The following is a 16359-nucleotide window of genomic DNA, read 5'->3' on the forward strand; positions in this document are numbered from 1 at the left end:
TCACCTCTTCATCTCCCTAATGAGGCTATGAGCACCCAAAGGCACCCTCAAGGCCCACACATTTTAGCTGTCCTGGAAGACCTGAAGCCACACAGTGCAAGTTCTGCAGAGACTGTGCCATTCAGAATCCCTGAGGCCCTTGGCTGGGAGCCATATTAGTGGTCCTTCCCTGGCCTACAGAGAGGCTGCACCATTCTCGAGTCCTAAGCATGGCATGGCCACAGTACTTGCATTCACCTTTATCTCTGATCATGAAGTTGAGCAAGCAGCTGACTCAAGGGCCAATGATCCTGCCAAGGTCTTCCTACAGGTGTTCCCAGCAGGCCTGCTAGCCAGGGGTGTGGCGCCACAGGTGCTTATCATGGGCCCACTGCAGGATGGCTGGTCCCCAAGCAGCCCCACCCAGAGAAGCTTCCACCATGATCCTGAGGCAATGCCTAAGGCCTCTGGAGAATGAGGTGACTATCACTGTTGGGGGGGCATGATCAACACAGGGTGCAAGTCAGTTTCTTGGGTGCTTACAATGTTCAATTATTGAATCTGAGTGCTGGTGACATGGTTCCCTTGGCAAAGATTAATCGAACCATATAATTATAATTTGTGTATTTTTGTATATGTCTGTTCACTTCAGTAAAAATTTACATGAAATGTACTATTAAAAAAAAAGCTACTCTTGCCCCAGCTTCTTAGCATATGCATAAAGCGATGCTCTGAGAGCATCTTACTGATCATGAGAGTTCCCCCAAGGTGTTTATAATTGGTTCTCAGAGAAATGCTGGCTCCCTCCTTCTGTCCCCTTAGCTGAAGCAGGCTGTGCATGATACAGCCAGAGGAGGGAGGCCATCAGTGTTCTGCCAGAGTTATTTGAATTTAAGCCCCTGCACTCTAGAATTCTTGAGGCTACCCAAAGCTTCATGGAGCTCATGATGAGATTCAAGGTGCAGATTCCTATTTTGGCATCTAAATCAAGTGAGGACACATTTATGCAAGGACCTTAGGCATCCATATCAGTCACAATAAACAGTTTTTGAAATAATTTTAATTATTTTCAAATAATGCATAATAACCTCAAAACCTAGTGGCTTAAAACAATAATTTGTCACCATCTTTCACAGTTGAAGGAGTTGGCTTGGCTAAGCCAGGCAGGTGTTGTGTGGGGTCTCTCCCTGGGTTAGTCAGATGGCGTCTGAGTCATCCAAAGGCCCGACAGGGCTGGACATCCCAAGTGGCTTCCTCACATAGCTGGCAGCTGGGAACCGAGTGAGGGCTGTGGTCTGCAGGCCTAGGCACAGCTCCTCCATGTGGCTTGGGCCTTCTCACAGCATGGCATCTGGATCAGAAAGGCAAGAAGTGGAAGCTGACAGCCTCTTAGCCCTGAGCTTAGAAGCGGGCACAGCACCATGTGCCTCACTCTATGGGTCAGAGAAGTCATAGAGCTCACCTAGATTCCAGGGGATGGGACAGAGACCCCACCTCTCAAGGTGAGCTCTCTAACTGGGAAATCCGTGACCATGACTTTGAAGTGAGGTTGGATCCAGGAGTCCAAGCAAGGTCCTGAACTTTCCCTCCCCGTCTCTGGCCTCTGCAGGGCTCTGTTGGGCTCCAGCTTCAGACACAGTCTCCCCAGGAGACAGCTATGGTGCTCAGCAGGTCCAAGCTCAGACTCCTTAGAGCACATGCCGAAGGAGAGACAACTGCTCTCCCAGCACTCAGTTTCCTAACAATGGACCCTAGTTGGCCCTGCTGTCCACGTGCTGATCCCAACCTAATAAGCACGTCCAATGTGTGACACACTCTGGCCAATGTGGGTCCTCTGACTGCCCTTGTGGTGGGCAGTGGGGGGCTCTCTTTATTATTACCCCCACCACAATCACATAGAAAGTTTGTAAAGAGGATTCCTTTTCTCAAAGCAGGGAACCACAGAGCTCATACTGTACCCCAAGTCCCCTGCAACGTTACCTACAGGTCATGCAACCAGCATTAAGTTACAAAGAGAAAGGTGGGTACATCTGGAACTCCCTAGGCCTCCTTTTCCAGTCCCTACCTCGGGATGTCCAGCTGTCACTCCACCCCCACGTTCTCCCCCTACCCTCTGGGCCTCCAAGGCCACCTACCTCCCAGCCTTTCCTGCCTCCCTCTCCAGAAGGCCAACTGCTTCCACTGGCCACTTCAGATGGGCTCATCCCCCGGCCCTCCCCCAGCCCTCACCCTTCTCTTGAGTTCTGACAGGATAACATCGTTGATATGATTTGGCTTTGTCCCCACCCAAAACCTCATCTTGAATTACGATCCCCATAATCCCTACGTGTTAAAGTTAGGACTAGATAGATGAAGGTAATTGGATAATGGGGGCGGTTTCCCCCATGCTGTTCTCATGATAGTGAGTGAGTCTCGTGAGATCTGATGGCTTTATAAGTGCCCAGCATTTCTCCTGCTAACACTCATTCTCTCTCCTGCTGCCCTGTGAAGAACTGTGAGTCTATTAAACCTCTTTTCTTTAGAAATTACCCAGTCTTGGGTGTTTCTTCATAGCAGCATGAAAAAGGACTAATACAACTGGCTTCTAGGGTTAGCCGGGGAGTACCTCCGGCATAGACTGGGGGCCACATGGACTCAACATCAGACCACAGGCCTGTTAGAGGAGGAGGCGAAGCCGTCGGTGGAAGGCACACGAGGGATCTGAGTCCTTTTCCTCCCTGCCTGTCTGTGGCCCAGGGAGCCAGTGGTGGAGATGACACTTTTTTTTTTTGAGACAGAACCTCACTCTATCTTCCAGGCTGGAGTGCAGTGGCTCGATCTCGGCTGACTGCAACCTCCACCTCCCAGGTTTAAATGATTTTCCTGCCTCAGCCTCCCACATAGCTGGGATTACAGGCGTGCACCACCTCATCTGGCTAATTTTTGTATTTTTAGTGGAGACGGGGTTTTGCCATGTTGCCCAGGCTTGTCTCAAACTCCTGATTTCAAGTGCTCTGCCGGCCTCGGCTTCCCAAAGTGTTGGGATTACAGGCATGAACCACCACGCCGAGCTAGAGATGCCACTTCTAAGGTGTCCTTAGGTTTCAGAGGCCATGCAGGTGAATGGAGGGACAGTCATGGTGTTCTGTCTTTTGTTATGGAATAGTTATTATTAAAATCCTGGAGTGGGTTGAATTGTGGCCCCCACAAAAGGTTGGTCTGGGTCCAAATTCCTGGATCCTGTGACTATAACCTTATTTGGATAAAACAGCTTTGTAGATGTAATTAAATTAAGGATCTTCAGGTAAGTTCATCCTGACTTTGCCATTTTTAATTAAGTTGTTTGTCTTCTTATTATTGAATTGCAGGAGTAATTTTTATATTTTTGATACCAGTACTTTGTTAGATATAAGTTTGAGTACTCAGTCCTTGTAAGAGACAGAAAAGGAGAGACACACACAGAGGAGAAGGCTATGGGAGGCTGGAGGCAGAGATCAGAGCCACGAGCCAAGCTTGGAGCTACTGGAAGCAGGAAAGCAAAGAAGAACCTTGCCTGGAGCCTAAGTAGGGAGCACAGCCCTGTGACACTGTGATTTCGGACTTCTGACTTCCAGAACCGTGAGATAATAAATTTCTGTTCTTTTAAACCATGAAGTTTGTGGCAATTTGTTACGGCAGCCCTAAGAAAATAATACAAATCTTCTTTCACTGTCAAAAGTGCCTGGGTTGGAATCTATTGTAAGGACTCCCAGAGAGCTCTCGGGAAAGGAAACAAGAAGCCGGTCCCCTAGGCCTGGGCCTGACTGAGGCCGGGACCAGAGGCTCAGGTGGGGCCCTGGAGGCCAGCAGGAGGGCCCAGCCCAGTCACCAGTACAGGAGATTGACAGGAATGAAAGAAAATGTGTTGAGGGGTGTGCCTTAGGTCACGGGTCCCCAGCAGCCAGCAGCATCCGGAGGCTAGCTGGGGTCCTGGGTCCTGGCCATCTTTAGTCCTCAGAGACACAACTGACGTGCGTGTTGGTCCATCCTCAGGCTCACAGCCCTGAAATCTCTCTCCTCTGAGACAGAAAAGGAAGTTCATGTCAGAATCGGAGCACAGAGAGATCATGAATAAGCTGATGTCAGTGGCCCACTCACTGCCAACCTTGCTCAGCTCTGAGCATGATTATACCCAATCAAAGCATGGAAAATCAATGAATCTGCAGCCCAGGATACTGGGTACTACATCCACAGCCCAAAGAGCCTCTCCGGGGAAGGTTGCTAAGATACTAAGGGAAGGATACTTTGGAAAGATGGAGAAGTAAAAATATTTCCTACACCCTTTGTTTTGGAGAGACTATACCTGTATCTGGGATGCACAGGTGAGTTCAAACACCAAGGCGTTTGTGGATGGTGCCCAGGCTATACTCGAAGCAGAGCCGTCTCCTTCCCTGAGTGCCCTGCTCCTGAATGACCAACTGCAGGAGGTGGTGTCAGGCCCTGGGCTGTGCGAGGAAGGGAAGGCAAGACGCAGTGAGCCAGGGAAGGACACAGGACAGGGCTCATTGAAGCCCTACCCTACAGTGATACAAAACTGCTGCACAAGCTGGTCCCCAGAGAGCAACAGAGGAAGACTTAGGAGGCAGAGAGACTGGGAACACCAGTGGGGATGGGAGGGAAGTCTCCAGCCTGAAAAAGAAAATGGCCAATGGAAGAAACTAGGAAATAAAACATGGTTGCGAGTAGGGTATTCCCTACTTCTTCGTATGAGTCTGGGTTCTAGGAGGTGAATATGCATACAGTCACATGCTGTGTGACACTTCAGTCAACTACAGACGGTGATCCCATTAAATTATAATGGAGCTGAAAGAATCTTATCGCCTGGCAACAACCTAGTGCAATGTATTATTTAGGTGTTTGTGGTGATGCTGGTGTAAACAAACCTGCACTGCCAGTTGTATAAAATCTAGCACATAGAATTATGTACAGTGCATAGTACTTGACAATGATAACAAATGACTGTTAGCAGTTTATGTATTTACTATACTATACTTTCATGATTATTTTACAATGCACTCCTTCTACTTATTAAAAAGAAAAAGTTAATGTAACACATCCTCAGGCAGGTTCTTCAGGAGGGATTCCAGAACAAGGCACTCTCATCACAGGAGATGACAGCTCCATGTGCATGACGGCCCCAGAAGACCATCTGGTAGGACAAGATGTGGAGGTGGAACGCAGTGATATTGATAATCCTGACCCTGGGTAGGTGTGGGCTAATGTGTGTGTCTTCATTTTAATTTTTTTCTAATTTAAAATGTAAAAAAAGAAAAAAGCTTATAGGATAAGGATATAAAGAAAGAAAATATTTTTGTACAGTTATACAACATGTGTCTTAAGCTAAGTATTAATATAAAAAAGTCAAAAAGTTAAAAAAATAAAGTTGATAACATAAAGAAGCTAAGGTTCATTTATTATTGAAGGAAGAAAAAAATTTAAAATACATTTAGTGTAGCCTAAGTTTATAGTGTTTATAAAATCTGTAATAGTGTACAATGATGTCCTGGGACTTCACATTCACTCACCACTCACTCACTAGCTCATCCAGAGCAATTTCCAGACCTGCAAGCTTCATTCATGGTAGATGCCCCACAGAGGTGCACTACTTTTTGTCTTCTATGCTGTATTTTCACTCTACCCTTCCTATGTTTAGCTATGTTTGGATATACAAATATTACCGTGTTACAGTTGCCTGCAGTATTCAGTACAGTCACATGCTGCACAGATTGGTAGCCTAGGAGCAACAGGCTATGCCATAGAGCCCAGGTATGTAATGGGCTGTACCATTTAGGTTTGTGTAAGTACACTCTATGATGTTCACACAATGACAAAATCCCCTAATGATGTGTTTCTGAGAACGCATCACTGTCATTGAGCATCGTTGTGTATTAATTCATTTTCAAGCTGCTGATAGAGACATACCCAAGACTGGGCAATTTACAAAAAAAAAAAGATTTAATGGACTTACAGTTCCAGGTGGCTGGGGAGGCCTCACAATCACGGCGGGAGGCAAGGAGGAGCAAGTCGCGTCTTACATGGTTAGCAGCAGGCAAAGAGAGAGCTTGTGCAAGGGAACTCCCCCTTATAATACCATCACATCTCATGAGGTTTATTCACTATCATGAGAACAGCACAGTAAAGATCTGCCCCCATGATTCCATTACCCTCCACTGGGTCCCTCCCACAACACACGGGAATTCAAGATGAGATTTGGGTGGGGACACAGCCAAACTATACCACCATGACTGTAGTCTCTTGTGTGGGCTCCTTTCACTCATCATAATGTTTCTGAGCTCCATTCTCCTTGTCATGTGTATCTGTAATCTCTCCTGCTTTAATGTTGGGTAGTGTTCCATTCTGCAGCAATATCACAATTTGCTTATCCATTCTACTGTCTGGGGTTTTTCCCCAGTTTGAAGCTACTAAAATTGTTATAAATATTTGTTTATAAGTCCTTGTGAACACAGGTGTTTTTATTCCTCTTGAATAAATAAATACCTAGGAGAGGAATTTCTGTTTTTTTTTTTATTTTTATGGGTACATAGTAGGTGTATATATTTATGGAGTACATGAGGTGTTTTGATACAGGCATGCAATGCGTAATAATCACATCACAGTAAACAAGGTATCCATCACCTCAAGCATTTATCATTTCTTTGTGATACAAAAATTCCAATTATACACGTTTACTTATTTTTAAATATACTAAAAATTATCGTTGACTGGCCAACCTGTTGTGCTATCAAATACTGCATCTTATTCATTGTATTTAACTCTACTTTTGTACCCATTAACCATCTCCATTTCCCACCCCCCACACCCACAACCTTTTCCCAGCTCTGGTGACCATCATTCCACTCTCTATCTCCATGAGTTCAATATTTTTAATTTTTAGCTTCCACAAATGAGTAAGAACATGCAAAATTTGTGTTTCTGTGCCTTTTTTATTTCATTTAACATTATGTCCTCTAATTCCATCCATGTTGTTGTAAATGACAGGATCTTATTCTTTTTTATGGCTGAATCGTACTCCATCGTATATATGTACCACAGTTTCTTTATCCATTTGTCTATTGGTGAACAATTAGAGTGATTTCAAATCTTGGCTATTGTGAATAGTGTTGCAATAAACATGGAAGTGCAGCTATCTCTTTGATACACTAATTTCCTTTCTTTTGGGTATTTACCTACCAGTAGGATTGCTGGATCATAGGGTAGTTCTATTTTCAGTTGTTTGGGGAACCTCCATACTGTTCATCCTAGTGGCTGTATTAATTTACATTCCCACCAACAGTGTATAAGGGTTCACTTTTCTCCACATCCTCACCAACATTTGTTATTGCCTTTCTTGGATAAAAGCCACTTTAACCGGGTTGACATGAGATCCCATTGTAGTTTTGATTTGCATATCTCTGACAGTCAATGATGTTGAGCACCTTTTCATATGCCTATGTGTCATTTGTATGACCTCTTTTGAGAAGCGTCTATTCAGATATTTTACCCATTTTTAATTATATTATTAGATTTCTTCCTATTTAGTTGTTTGAGCTTTGCATAGATTCTGGTTATTGATCAGATGGGTAGTTTGCAAATATTTTCTCCCATTCTGTAGGCTGTCTCTTCACTTTGTCATTTCCTTTGCTGTGCAGCTTTTTAACTTGATGTGGAAATTTCTGGTTTGTATGGTAAGTATATATTTAAATTCATAAGAAACTTCCAAACTGTTTTTCGAAGTGACAGCATTAATCCTGAATTTCCACTAACATTGTACAAGAGTTCTAGTTGCTCCCGATTCTTACAAAAATTCAGAATTGTCGATCTTTAAGTTCAGGCATCCTCATGGTGTGAGGGGTCGTCACATTTCCCTGATGTGTAATGCTGCAGTGCATCTTTTTATGTGTTTATTGGTTGTTTCGGGAAGTGTTTGCTCAAAATTTTCTGCCCATTTTGATAAAGTTGTTTTGTCTTCTTCTTACTGATCTTCCAGGGTTCTTTTTAATTTTTGCATACCATTACTTTGCCAAATACCTGTGTATATTTTCTCCTGGTCTGCAACTTGCCCTTTCATTTTCTTCATGGTGTCTTTTGTAGACCAAAAACTTTTAATTTCAATAAGGCCCATTTATCAATTTTTTTCCTCAAAAATTTTATGTGCCCTGAGAAATCTTTGCCTGCCCAAGTTGTGAAGATTTTCTCTTATGTTTTTCTCTAGAAGCTTTACAAATTTAGCTTTTATTTTTGTCTGTGATACATTTCAAGTTATGGTATAGGTAAGGGTTGAAGTTCACTTTTTTCATGTATAGATCTTCACTTGTTTTAGCACCATTTATTCAAAGACTATCTTTTTCCCCATCAAATTACTTTGGTAACTTTGTTAGGAATCAACATATTATGTATGTCCAGAAACAGGACATCTGATTCTGTTCCACTGATGAATTGTCTAAACTGAAACCTATACCACATGTCTTCATTACTGGCTTTCCTGTAATCTTGAAATAAAGTAGATAAGTCCTCAACATTCATTCTTTGTAAAAATTGCTTTGATTATTCTAGATTATTTGTACTTCCATGTAGATTTTGGAATCGCTTTGTCAATTTCAACCAAAAATCAGGAGAGCTGACTTCTTAACAATATTGGCAATTCACTTTGTCTCCACAATGTTTCATAGTTTTTTACATAGAGATTTTGCTCATCTTGTAAGTATTTTCAAATGGTACTATAGACAGTATTATTTATATAATTTAATCTTCCAAATTGCCACAATTTAGGAAAACAACTGATCTTTTGTTTATTGACCATTGTATCTTATGACCTTGCTAAATTCGCTTATTTTAGTAACTTTTTGTAAATTCCTTAGGATTTTCAAGTACATTATTATTTCTTCTATGAATGGATTCACTTTTACCTCCTCCTTTCGAATCTTATGTCGGTATTTCCTCTTACCTTATTGCACCACCTAGGACTTTTGGTACAATGTTGAATGATCATGGCAAAAGTGGACATTCCTGCCGCACTCCCAACCTGAGGAGGAAAACATTATGTCTTTCACTATCAAATTTGATAATACCTGTAGGTTTTTCATGACAGCATTTTTTCAGGTTGATGAGTTTCCCTTCTACTCCAGTGTTTTAAGAGGATTTTATTTTTTTTAAAAAAAGTACATCGTGAATGAGTATTGCATATTGTCAAATGCTTTTATAACATCTATCTAGATCATCACCTGGGTTTTCTGCTTTAAACTGCTAGAATTGCATTCATTGATTGGTCAATTGCACTGATTAACTTTGCATTTCTAGGATAAGCACTCTTGGTCATAGTGTATTACCCTCTACATATATTCCTAGATTCAACATACTGAAATATTTTAAGGATGTTTGCATGTATATTCCTTTTTTTTTTTTTTTTTTGGAGACAGAGTCTTGCTCTGTCTCCCAGCCTGGAGTGCAGTGGTACGATCTCAGCTCACTGCAACCTCCACTTCCCAGGTTCAAGTGATTCTCCTGCCTCAGCTTCCTGAATAGCGGGGATTACATGCGTACACCACCACACCCAGCTAATTTTTTGTATTTTTAGTAGAGATGGGGTTTCACCATGTTGCCCAGGCTGGTCTTGAACTCCTGGCCTCAAGTGATCCACCCACCTCAGCCTCTCAAAGTGCTGGGATTACAGGCGTGAGCATGGTGCCCAGCTGCATGTATATTCCTTGTGGACATTGGCCTATAAGATTTTTTTCTTGTAGTATCTTTTCTCTGAGTTTGATATCAGGATTATGCTGATCCCATAAATTAAGTTAGAAAGTCTTTCCTCCTCCTTTACTTTCTGCAAGTTTGTATAAAAGTGATACTACTACTTCCTTAAATATTTGATTGAATTCACTAGAGAAGTCACTGGAGCCTGGAATTTTCCTTGTGTGAAAGTTTTTAATTACAAAGTTAATTTCTTTAATGGTTATAAAGCTATTCAGGTTATCTATTTTTTCTTCACTGGGCTTTAGTAATTTTTCTTTTGAAAAATTTTCCCATTTCCTCTGGGTTGTCAAATTTGTTGCCGTAAAGCTTCTATAATATCCCCATATTATTTCTTTAATCTCTACATAGTCTGTAATTTTTATTCCCTCTTTTATTAGTGATGTTGGTAGTTTGTTTTATGACTTTTTATTAGGAGTTTATCAATTTTATTGATCTTTTCAAAGAACTTTTTATCTTATTGACTTTCTTTATTATTCCGTTTTCTATTACATTGTTTTCTGCTATTAACTTGATTTCCTTTCTTCTACTTACATTAGGTTTAATTGGCTCCTCTTTTTCCAACTTCTAAAAGTAAAGCTTAAATCATTGACCTTGGACTTTTTATATTTTCTAATAAAAATCATTTAAAGTTATAAATTTGTCTCTAATCATTACAAAAATTTTGATATTCTGTGTTCTAATTCTTATTTAGGAAAAATTATTTTAAAATATCTTTTGTGATTTTCTCTTTGATCCATGTATTATTTAAAAGTATGTTGCTCAGTTTCCAAATACTTGGGGATTTTCTAGATATCCTTCTGCTATTAACTTCTATTTTAGTTCCACTGAATTTAGATAACATGTTCTATATTATTTTGGTCCTCTTAAATGTATAAACTTGTTTTCTGCCCCAGATATGGTCCATTATAATGAAAGTTTTGTGTTCAGTTGGAAACAATGTGGATTCTACGAATACGGTGAATTGCATTGATTGATTTATTGCGCTGTTGATTAAACTGACTTTGCATTCCTAGGATATAGAACACTACACCTAAAAATCTGTATTTAGGTAGAAGGTTCTATAGGCATCAATTAAATCAAGTTGGTTAGTAATATTGTTCAAGTGTCCTTCCCCTTTATTCATTTTTTCTACTTGTTCTATAAGTTACTGAGAAACAAGTATGACAATTTGTAAATATAAGTGTAGATTTCTCTACTTCCCCCTTCATTTCTGTCCATTTCTTTGTCATATTTTGAAGTTCTATTATTAGGTGAATATATGTTTACAATTTTTCTCTTTCTGATAAATTTATCATTATGAAATGTTCTCGTTTATTTCTTGTTCTGCATATTTCTTGTTCTGAAGTTTACTTTTTCTGATATTTAACTAGCCCCTCCAACTTTGTTATAATTGGTGCTACATGGTATATTTTTTTCCATCCTCTTACTTTTGACCTACCTGTGCCTTTAAATTATTGAGGTCTTCAGACAACATAGAGTTGAGTCTTGCCTTATTATACAGTCTAAAAATATTTGTCTTTTTATTGGAATTTTTAGACCAGTTTCATTTTATATAATTATCAGTATAGTTGGGTATAAATCTACCATTTGTCATTTGTTCTCTGTTTATTTCATCTGTTCTTCATCCTTTATTTCTCTTTTCTTGATTTCTTTTAGAGGAATTAAAAATGTTTATGGTTCTATTTTATCTCCACTGTGAGTTCATTAGCTATAACTCTGGCTTCATGTTTAGTGGTTGCATGAGGGTATACAATATGTATCATTAGCTCATTACAAATATACTATTATAACACTTTATGTACAATGTAAGACCTTACAACCATATACTTCCGTTTCCTCCATTCTGTCCATCATGCTATCATTACATATTTTGCTTTAATAGGTTATAAGCCACACAGTACATTGTTATTATTTTTGTTTAAACAATCAATTATCTTTTAAGGAAATTTAAAAATGAGAAAAGCCTTTGTATTTACCCACATACTTACCATTAAGTGTTTTTCATCCTTTGTCCACTTAGTATCACTTCACATTAGAAACACCTGGTGAGTCTTATTATATTTGTTAGTGTGAGGAAAATAATTGAAAGTATACACCGTTACCCAGCTCCTTGTCTCTTATAAGGGGTTGATTAGGAGTATCCAGTGGTGATATCTTTATTGCTAGATCATGCCATGGACTATTAGTGCTCTCTTTACAATTGGAAATAAAGTTATTAGCAACTTAAAATGTAATCAGATTAGAGACCCAATTTTGGAATAGATAGATATGATTATACTTAAATATAATATATAACTATATATAATTTTGTACATATGCATAACGTGTGTGTGTGTGTGTGTGTGTGTGTGTGTGTGTAAGGAATTGGCTCCTATGATTATTGAGGCTGACAAGTCCCAAAATCTGCAGTTAGTAAGCTGGAAACAGCAGAGCCAATGGTGTACTTCCAGTTCAAAGGCTGGCAGGCTCAAGACTCATAAAAAGCTGATACTTCAGTTCAAAAATGGCAGGAAAAAAAAAAAACCACCTCCCAGCTCAAAGCAGTCAGGCAGGATGAAATTCTCTCTTACTTGCAGGAGAGTCAGTCTGTCTGTTCTATTCCGATCTTCAATAGATTTGATGAAGCCCACCCACATTTCTTAGCCACTGGCATTTAGCAATTGGATTATGTTTTACCTTGCATAGTTTTCTTTGTGCTTATCTTGCTTTTGATCTATTGAGCATCATGGATGGGTGGTTTTGTATGTTTCATCAAATTTGGAGCATTTTTTACCATTATTCAAATATTTTTTCTCTTCCCTCTTTCCTTTCCTTCTCAGCTTCCAATTACAAGTATGTGATCCATATACTTGCATGAATATTTTCCCACAGGTTACTAAAGATTCATTTAAATTTTCTTTTTAGTCTCTTTTGACTGAATTTTAGTTTTGAAAGTTTCTATTGCAACTTTCAAGTTCACTGATCTTTTCTTCTTCACGTCTAATCTGTTCATTTCATAAAGAAATTTTTTTATTTAAGATTTTTATTTTTGGCCCTTGTATTTCCTTTTTAATTTTTCTCCTTCTTTGATGATTACTTTCATGTTTCCTTTAAATTCGTGTGTATATCTGTAATTGGTGTTTTCAATCCTTTGTGTGCTATTTCCAACATCCATCATTCCTGAGTGTGTTTCTATTGACTGGTTTTTCTCTTGGTAGGAGTTGCACTTCTGTGCATCTTTACATGTCTGTATTTCTTATATGACACCAAACATTGTTAATTATACCTTACTTAATGCTAGATTTTGTTGTCCTCCTCTAAAGATTGGTAGATATTTTTCTGGCAGCCAGCTGAGTTACTTAGAAATTACCCTGACCCTTTTGAGGTTTGTTTTGAAGCTTTGACTGAAGGAAAGGGGTTAGATTAGACTTTATTTAGGGCTTCTTTACTCCTCCTGCCAAGACATGACTTTTCTGGGATGTCAACTGAACGCACCAGATTTTCTACAAGGACGCTCCACTCTGGCTGGTAGGAATGCAGGAGTCCCCCCATGTCCCACATGAGCTCTGAAAGTGCCTGCTCACTGCTTTCCAATCACCCTTTGCCCAGCCTCCTGGAGTTTTATGATAGACATCCACAACCTAATTTTTATAACAGATCCATGGGGAACCCTGTTGTATTAATCTGTTCTCACACTGCTATAAAGAATGACCTGAGACTGGGTAATTTATGAGTTAAAGAGGTTTAGTTGACTCACAGTTCCACAGGCTGTACAGGAAGCATGGTTGGGGAAGCCTCAGAAAACTTAAAATCATGGAAGAAGGGGAAGAGAAAGCAAACACATCCTTCACATGGTGGAGCAGGAGGGGAAGTGATAATCTCATGAGAACTCACTCACTATCACAAGAACAGCAAGGGGGAAATCTGCCTCTATGATCCAATCATCTCCCCCCAGGCCTCTCCTCCAACACTAAAGACCACAATTCAACAGGAGATTTGGGTAGGGACATAGAGCCAAGCCATATCAACTGTACAGATTTCTGGATATTTTTCTGTACATTACTCCCTCCTCTCAAAACTGCTGCATTGGGGATTAAGTTTCCAACACATAAACTTTGTGGGACACATGCAACCATAGCAATTCCCTTCCAGGGAGGTTCTGCAAAGAGGCCTGCCACTGATTCCTCATTGCATGGAGATGAGATCTCCCTTATTCTGCAAGGCCATGTGGTTTTTCCATCTCTTTCTAATCTGAGTGTTCAGGTAAAAGTCCATACCTGCTAACAGGGGCAAGCAGGTGCTAAAAACTAGTGAAAAAACTAGTGAAGAGGGCCCAACTAACTGAAGAGTAGCATGCCCACCCAAAGGGTCAGCTGTGACCAAGATCCCACAAAGGTAGCCATGCACAAATGCAGGCCAGGGCTGCTTGACTTCAGATTCTTCAAAAGAAGCTGCAAGTCACAATTTTTACATGAAATGTCCTGTGTGTTAAAAGTTAGCAACTGTGGGCCAGGCTCGGTGGCTCACGCCCGTTATCCCAGCACTTTGGGAAGCCGAGGAGGGTGGATCACAAGGTCAGGAGTTCAAGACCAACCTGGCCAATATGGTGAAACCCTGTCTCTACTAAAAATACAAAAATTAGCTGGGCTTGGTGGCACATGCCTGTAATCTCAGCTACTCGGAAGGCTGAGGCAGGAGAATTGCCTGAACCCAGGAGGCGGAGGTTGCAGTGAGCTGAAGTCATGCCACTGCACTCCAGCCTAGGTGAAAAAGGGAGACTCTGTCTCAAAAAATAAAAAAAAAGTTAGCAACTGTGGAGGACAAACAAAATGCTGACCCTGTCTTCAGACTTCTCCTTGGATGGAAGGGTGGCAGACCCAAAGCCTTTGGCTTAAGAAATCTCCCCAGGGCCAGGTCCTAACAAAACGTGGCTTCTCCCATGATGTCCCCCATGTGTCAATGCTAAACCGACCCTCTGGCTCTGACAATTCAAAGTCAACTCAACAAATGCTTACTAAGCATTTGCTGCCTGACAGGCTCTGGCCTTGATGTTGGGAATAAGACTGGACCTGTCACTCATATCTCTGCCCTCAGAGATGTGACCTCAGAGATTAAACCTCTAGTGTTTACTAGAGGTTAAACACCAGTGAGGAGGCAGATATTAGCCCAACCATCGCAAGAATACATGACTACAAACTGAGATAAATATTAGGAAGAAAAATTGGAGGAAACTAAGAGAGTTTATTACAGCAGATTTTACTGGCTATGATATTTGAACTGAATGTTGAAGGATGGATAGCATTCAAATAATTAAAGAGATTGGATGAGATTGAGAGCAAAGCTTTCCATAAAGTGAGCACAGTACATGCAAAGGCCCTGAGGCAGAGCAGAGTGTAGGCATTCTACAAACTCAAAGGCCAGTGTGGCTGGAGTGCAGGGAGAAAGAGAGAAAGTGCACACAGGTCTTCTAACACCTAAAAAAAATGTGTTAGCCACCTCGTTTTCCCCAGTGTAGCCAGAAATGCATTGGTAAGGAAAGACCCAGGTTAAAGCAAGCCCGAGTGTGTGACCACCCTCTGCATGGTGGCTCCTGTCCTGCTACCCATTCCAGGAGGACACAGCAAAACCAGGGGCCACATCTTTGATTCTGTAACTTGCATCACAGGTCCTCCAAATACAGCTCCTTCCCCATCAGTCCCTGGATACTTCTAAGTTCATTTCCTGATCAATTTCCCTCTGGCCTATACATCTTAACCATTGAGGATGTTGTCTTGCTCTCGGCCTGGTCCGTCTGTGTTTGCCACTTACTGTGTGTCCCCTCAGGGCCCAGACCAGAGCCACAGACATGGGCTGGACCCCTCCCTAGGGGGTGAAGAGCCCTGGTGTCATCATCCAGGAAGAGGCTGATCCTCCCAAGGAAATGGGACCAGAGGGAGGGGAATTCAGGCTGTCCCTCTCTGGAGCTGACGTAGGCCCATCTTCACCCTGGTTTTGACTTGAGTTTAGATTTGTCTGAGGCCAGGAAGGTTAGTGAGGCAGCAGCGGGTGGGCAAAGAGACCCATACCCAGTGAAGACAACTGGGGTGAGGCCACCTCAGGGTAAGGCCCTCTGAAGAGGAGAGGGGTTTTCCCGTGAGCCCATAACATCGAGTCACCTGCTGCCTCCTGATTCAGTCAACATTGCTGAGTGTCTGCAGCTGAGCCCACTCTCTGTGCTGGCACTGGAATCCTAGGTGACAAAATGCCCAGGCCCTGTTCTGAGGAAGCAGATGCCCCTGAGGAAGTGGACAACAGTCCAGCAACCCCATGTGGCAGTGGAAGCACAAGTGAGGGCATGGCTATGCCCAGGAATTCTCTGAACCACAAGAGGGTCAAACTCAGGGCCTGAGCCAGTCTTGGGGGTCAGCAAGAGCATCCCAGAGGGAGTGACATAGAAGCTCTCCACTCCAGGCTAGCTGGGAGTTGTAGACCAGGTGGAGTACATTCCAGGCAGAGGAAACTGCAGATACAAAATCCTGGGAGCAGGAGAGAGTGCAGAGAGTTTAAGGAAGAAAGAAGTCACATGAAGCGAGATGGGGCTGGAGGAGAAGGAACCTGTACAAGGACAGACTGAGGAGGGTTGAAGAGTGGGGG

General features: G+C 41.6%; 1 long non-coding RNA gene across 1 annotated transcript in view, besides 2 other annotated features; it reads left to right on the plus strand.

The window, feature by feature from the left end:
- LINC00842 (long intergenic non-protein coding RNA 842) overlaps positions 1 to 16359 on the plus strand; it is a 54945-nt gene that overhangs the window by 25071 nt on the left and 13515 nt on the right. The window lies entirely within an intron of this gene.
- Positions 972 to 1472: an enhancer, noted in NCBI's record as "H3K27ac hESC enhancer chr10:47124851-47125351 (GRCh37/hg19 assembly coordinates)". NCBI's record gives its function as "activates a minimal SCP1, AML or CMV promoter by ChIP-STARR-seq in naive H9 embryonic stem cells {active_cell/tissue: H9 hESC(naive)}" and the evidence as "EXISTENCE:reporter gene assay evidence [ECO:0000049][PMID:30033119]".
- Positions 1473 to 1973: an enhancer, noted in NCBI's record as "H3K27ac hESC enhancer chr10:47124350-47124850 (GRCh37/hg19 assembly coordinates)". NCBI's record gives its function as "activates a minimal SCP1, AML or CMV promoter by ChIP-STARR-seq in naive H9 embryonic stem cells {active_cell/tissue: H9 hESC(naive)}" and the evidence as "EXISTENCE:reporter gene assay evidence [ECO:0000049][PMID:30033119]".

The sequence above is a fragment of the Homo sapiens genome, chromosome 10, assembly GCF_000001405.40.
Source record: "Homo sapiens chromosome 10, GRCh38.p14 Primary Assembly".
In the NCBI taxonomy this organism is placed as follows: Eukaryota; Metazoa; Chordata; class Mammalia; order Primates; family Hominidae; genus Homo; species Homo sapiens.